The sequence below is a fragment of the Homo sapiens genome, chromosome 2, assembly GCF_000001405.40.
Source record: "Homo sapiens chromosome 2, GRCh38.p14 Primary Assembly".
Classification (NCBI taxonomy): Eukaryota; Metazoa; Chordata; class Mammalia; order Primates; family Hominidae; genus Homo; species Homo sapiens.
The window spans coordinates 2,476,987-2,484,036 of record NC_000002.12 but is presented as its reverse complement, the minus strand read 5'-3'; positions in this window follow the sequence as shown (position 1 = coordinate 2,484,036).

The window sequence follows — 7,050 nt, the reverse complement described above, 5'->3', positions numbered from 1 at the left end:
TGCTGAACAAAGAACACACTTCCAGCCCCCAGGAGGGGACTTAAAATGTAGACACTTAAGTGACACAGTTCAGGACTTGCATGGAGCTTGCGGGTGTGGGGCACCCTGAGCACAATGGCTGAGGGAGAAGTTGACTCTTTATTAAGGAGAGAAGAAAGCCGGCAATTGGGTCTGAGTTAGGCAGTGCATAAAAAAGAAAGCACAATACTGGCTTTAGGAGAAGAAAACAAGGCAACATAGGAAGAGAATTCAGACAGAAAAGAGGGACAAAACCAACTGAATTTGCTCTAGAGTTGCAGTAATCTTTCCAAAGACCACTCAGACACATTTAATAATTTATTTTTGAACTAGATCATCAGTATGGATTTTACCTATGTAGAGTTTGTGTCGTTTTTCTTATCAATGATTTGTAAGATTTTATAGTGTTAGTAAGCAACTAGATTACTACGTAGCTTTGCTTATATTTGGGTCTGTGTGATTCCAAGAATCTGCATCTTCTTTGTCTATCCCTTCATTGTATATAGCAGCTAGCCCAGTTCTTTGCACATAGTATGTGCTCAATAAGCATTTATAGATTGCCTGAGGATAGAATTCAGGTTTTTCCCTCTTTGAGTGGAAAAGGGAATGAAGATGGATCTTAAATTCCGATGTTTCAGGTGCTTGGTATCAGCAACATGTAGTCCGTAACTTCAGGGCTGCACTACTATGAACAAACAGATACTATGGAGGCAGGGCCAGTTGCACTAACTACCCAGAGGTTTAATTCAGAAGGTTTTAAAGCTATGCCCATAAATTCAGGACACATGCCAGGTCTAATTCTGGAAATTCTGGAAATAATCAATTCTGTTCACACGTAATAAGTAGTAGCACTTCATGACCAAATGCTGATGTTTGCTTTCTTATTCCTTTTTATAACCAAAGTCTTACTTCCCAAATGGTATCTCTTCCAAGACATTTCTAATCTGAAAGGAAGTCCAAATTGGCACAGGGATAGCAACTTCCTTGGCGCAAGTGACTATTTAGAAAGTAGTATTCTGAGTATTCTGCAGGGATGGTTTAAATAACTCGTGCTCATATTTGCATATTGCAATGGCAGGGCTTTGCTGTAAAGGAAAAACTGGTGACACTGAGTCAACTCCCTCTTATTCAAAGTCACAGCCTCTGCCTCTCAGTTGCTTCTTCGCACTGTGCTTAATACCAGGGCAAAAATTTACCTGCTTAGGAAAGCATCTTCACCTCGTGGCCTCTAAGAGAAAAAAAAACAAACTCCTTAGCCTGTCAGACAAAGATGCATAACTATTGGACCCAACCCACCACCTGACTTCACACCCACAGGGATCTGAGAGTGCTCTGTTCTGGGGGCAGGCACTCTCAGTGCTCTCTGACTGAAGCTCTGCTCCCCTCCACAGAAGGCCATTCCCAGACTTTTTTCCTTCTGCAAGTGCTGATGGAATATCACATTTAAAAGATTCTACAGTAGTTCAGGGAAAAAAAAAGGTGATACTTAGTAAGCATTACAGAAACATGTTCGGGCTAAATACAATCTAAAATATCAGTATTATCTAATTTACTTATTAGTAGGTTTTGCTAAACTTCTCTTTTTGAAGTATCATTTCCATATCAAAACATTAAAAATGTTAATGATCTCTAATGTCATCACCTTGACATAGTTTATTTTTTCTATGTTTCTTTCTAGTCTAACTATATCAATTCATGTTTTTTACATAGAGGTAATAATGGTATGCATACAATTTTATGTTGTTTTTATTATTTTTATAGTGCTATATTTATTTTTTTCATAAGTATACTATTAGTGCTTATAATATATCTTAGAGTTACTTAATCGTATATTTATAGCCATTCTCTAATTGCTGGATGCTTACTTCTAAAGCTTTATTTATAAATAATGAGATGATGTACATCTTCAGGCCTTGAAGCATCTCAACTTATTTTAATTATTTCCTTAAAATAAGCTTGAAATCAATTATTAGGTTAAAAAGTAAAAACAGCAAATGTCTGATAGTATTTTCTTAAATAGATACTTTGATATTTTAAGGCCTTCATTAGCAAATTTCAACATACATAAGAATTGTTCTGGAACCTTATTTAAAAATATAGATTTTCTGAGTTTTACCTGGGGATATGATGATACAGGACAATGGAGGTGGAGCCTAGAAATCTGAATTTCAGCTATCACCTTGGGTGATTCTGATGCAGATATTTACATTATTAAATAGAAAGAAAAATAGAAACAAAGATATAAGAAAATCTTCAAGAAAATCTAGTTTTACCTTTCCTTCCTTGTGTGGCCACATATTGTTCTAAATATTGTAATTCAGAAATTCAGGTTAACACCACATCGAGAATAATACGAGAATATTTTTAATGTGCCTGATGTTCTTATTGAGTCCAATTTATCTTATGGTATTAATTAACTCATTTAAAAGTTTCTTTCTAAAGAAAGAAGGCTGAAAACACCTGACAGAAAATAGTATAACTGAATACACATTCCATACCTGAACAGAAAAAGGACAAAGGGAGCCCGAATAGTGGTGTGGGGATGTCTGTGGATACGGGCGCCTTTGGAAAGCACATGCCACATACAAATTAGTGCCATGCAGAGCGTTTCCCGAAACATGAGGAGACCACACATCTTCATATGTTTCTTGCTAGGTTTCTAGAACAACCTGCAACACTTTATTACTGCTTTGAGTCAGAATGATGTTTGTGATTTTCTTTCCTGGAGGGTTTCTCATTTCCCCAGGTTGTTGAGGGAAAAAAAAAAAAAAAAAAAAAAGAAGAAGAAGAAGAAGTAGCCAGCTGTGGCATGTTTGGTTTGGGTGGCAGAACAGCCAAAAATTTAAAGGGAAACATTATAATAATAGGGGTGATAGCTGGAGAAAGTCTGGGATAATAAAGTCTGCACAAGTCCCTGACTGATGGTTAGGCTCTGCATTTGTGTGGAAAATTACAGAAAGCCCCAAAACAGCAAGGGTGCTTTCAAACTTGCTGAATTTTAAAATGCATCCTTGAACTAGAGACAGCTTAACCAGATGCCTGAAGCCAAATTGGTTTGAGAAAACTGAGCATAACCTCTGACTAAATCCCTGGCTGAGAATTAAAATAAACAGAACCAAGGGAGGCACCTACATAGGCAGGTTTAAAAGAAAATTAAACTGGGAGGAAGAAATATTTCACAGTTTGTGTGCAAGCACATTAATTGCCTAACAAAACAAAATGAATAAACAAAAATCTAAGGAGCAAACAGAATCCAGGGCTGCTACGATCTACAATGTCTTGTTTTCAGTCAAAAATTATTAGCCACAAATATAAATGGGATAGTATGACCACAATCAAAAAAATAACTTTGAGTGGGTCTTGATTTTGAATTAGCAGTCATCAACTTAAAAGAAGCTATTATAAATATGTTCAAACAATTATAGAACAATTTTGATCCAATAATTTAAAGAAAGTATACTATTAGTGAGTAAACAGGAAATCTCAGTGGAGAAGGGAAAAGTATTTTTTTTAAAAAAAAGATCAAAATTCTAAGACTGAAAAACACAATATCTGAAATAAAAATTCATTGAATGGGTTAATCAGTAGCACTGACTTGGCAGAAGAAAGAACTGAGATTTAAAAAATTAGATAAATTAAAAAGTATCCAATTTGAAAAGCACCGAAAAAAAGGATAAAAGTGAAGAGAGATGCAGAGATTTATTAAACATTATCAAACATTTCAACATATGTATAATTGGAGTTCTAGAAAGATAGAAGGAAAATACAAATCACAAAAAATATTTAGAGTAGTAATGCCTAAAAATTCCCCAAATTTGATGACAACATTGGTTTTCAAATCCACAAAGCTCAAAAAGTCTCAAGTAAGATATACACAAAGAGAAATGCACCTAAACACTATATTCAAACCAGTAAAAACCCAAAGCAAAGCAAAAGTCCTGAAAGCAGTGAAGAAAACAACAAAAAAAAGACAATTCACATATGAAAAGGAAGGATATAATTTATAGATGACTTTTCATCCAAAGCAGTGGAATCCGTAGGATTCGAAATAAAATGTTCAAAACACTGAATGAAAAAAAAAAATGCCTTCATTGTATAAACAAACTTCCTTTAAAAATGAAAGCAGAACAGGGGCGTTTTTGATAAACAAACCCTGACAGAATTATTTGCTAGTGACCTGCACTGTAAAAATGCTAAGGAATATCTTTCACCTGAAGGTTTCAGATGAAACCTCAGATCCATGAAGGAAATAAAGAACACAGGAAATGTTAGATATAAAATATTGCTTACTGATTTTAAAATAAAATATTGGTTTATTATATATATTCCATATATAATGGAACAATTATATATTATTATCTTATAATTATATATGTTTATTTTGTTTCTTGACTTTATTAAAAACATATGACTGCTTAAAGTGAAATTTATAAGAACGTATTTTAAAGTTTATAATGTATATTGATGTAATATAAATAACAACAAAAGAACAATGGATTAGAAGGAAATGGGAACATACTGATATAAAGTTTTTACATTATATTGAATATATGTCAATATTGAATATATGTCAATATTGACTTGAAGTTAAAAATGAATATTGTATTATATTACCTAGAATATAAACACAAAGAAAAATAAACATTCAATATAATAACTAAAATACATTTATTCAACACACACACACAAAAACCATTAACTTAATAAAAGAGGAATAAAAGAAGAAAGGAGACCAATAAAGAGCAAAGGGCAGCAGACTAGATCTGGACCCAACCCTATCAGTGGTTCTGTTAGACTTGAGTAGACTCACCCCAAGCCAGGCCTCATCCTACTATGGACCATGAGGAAAACATGGCTTGCAGTGTGCTCGTGAGCTAAGAATGGTTTTTATCTATTTAAAAGACTGTTAAGGGAAGAGAAAGATAAGAGCACACATAAAAATGAAGACAAAGATGGGGAAGATGATAATGATTATAAGAAACAGAGAAGAGGAGGAGGAAGTGGTGCAGCAGATATTGTAGGTGGTCTTTATAGAAAATATTTGCTGAAAATTTGACTAATATTAATAAAAGGCAAGAATTTTCAGACTAGATAAAGAAAATTACTAAGACTTTGTCAGACATCAGTACAAGCCCTATAGTTATTAAAGGGACAAAAAAGGAATTACATGAAAAAATTATATCAGGAAATTTGAAGATTTAGATGAAGTAGACAAATTATTTGAAAGATATAAATTATATAATATGTCTCAAGAAAAAGTAGAAAATCTGGGCAACCCTATGTTTACTAAAGAAATTTAAATACAAATTAAACCTCTTGCTCATATACATATAACCACACACACAAACACATACACACTAGGCCTATATATTTCCACTACTGAATTATCTCAAATATTTATAAAAATACTCTTGCAGTAAAAAGAGGAAGAAAGAACACCTTCCAACTTATTTTTGGAGGCCAGTATTACATCAGTACCAAAACAGGAAAAAGAAATCAAAAGAAAACATTCATAGTTCCAAAACACACTGATTCAAAAATTCTTATAAAAAATATGCAGACCAAACAGAACAACATATGAAAAGGATACTATACAAAAATTAGGTTGGGTATATACACAAAATTCAAGTTTCATTTAACATCTGAAAATCATTTAATGTAATGCTATATTGGAAGAAAAGTAAGAAGTCAAATCATCTTTATAGATGCAGAAAAATCATTTGACAAAATGCAACAAAGATTCATGCTGAAAGTCTCAGGACACAAGGAATAAAAGAAAACTTCTTCAACCAGACAGAAGGCATCTACAAATACCTACATCTAACAGCACATTTAACGAGAAATATCTGAATATTTTCTGTTTATATTCAGGAAAAAGGCAAAATGTCTGCTTTCACCAATTTTATTCAACTTTGTGTTGAAGTCATAGCACAAATATGACAAGAAAAAAAGAGCAGATTCTTGGAAAAAAAAAGAATTGTATTCATTCACAGATGATATGACTATGAACCTAGAAAATCTTAAGGAAACTCCAAAATAACCTATAACAAATAATTTTGCAAATTTTCAGATTACGTAAATACAAAACCTGTTTTTTATACTAATAGTGAACATTCCGAAAAGTTCCATTCACAGTGCATAAAAAGTAAAATACTTAAAAATAAATTTAAATATGAATATGCACTGGTTCCTGTAAACAGAGGAATTAAAGAACACTAAAATACATGGAGGAAAAACTTTGTATCCTGATTGTAAGACTCAATATAGCTAAGATGAAAATATTCCCTGAATTGATCTGGAAATTTAATGTAATACCCACTAAAATCTATGAAAGTACTTCCGTAAAAATTTATAAGTTCATTCTGCAATGTACAGGAATGCAAAATGCCTAGAATAGTCAAAACAGCTGTAAATGACCAAAGGTCAGAGACCTGCACTGATTTTAAGATTTCTCTAAAAGTTTCATATTTTAGACAAAAGAAATTAGCACAAGGATAGACGTATACCTCAATAAGAGAGAATTGAGAGCCCAGAAATGAATCAAATTTATGAGCTCAATTGATTTTTGAAAAATGTACTTAGGTTATTTTCAGAGAAAAGAATTGCCTTTTTAATAAATAGTGCTAAAATATCTAGATGTCTGTATGAAAATAAAAAGAACCTTGACCCATTCCTCACATGGCAGATGAAAATGACTTCAAATGGACCAAAGGTCTAAACTTTATAACTACAACTCTGAATATTATAGAAAATATATACAAAAAGTTTTGTAATCTGGACATAGAGGTTTCCTAAGTAGGAAACAAAAAATACAAGACTTAAGAAAAAAAAAAAAAAAAAGAGCCAGGTGCGGTGGCTCACACCTGTAATCCTAGCACTTTGGGAGGCTAAGGTGGGTGGATCACAAGGTCAGGAGTTTGAGACCAGCCTGGACAATATGGTGAAACCCTGTCTCTACTAAAAATACAAAAATTAGCTGGGCACGGTGGTGGGCACCTGTAGTCCCAGCTACTCGGGAGGCTGAGGCAGGAG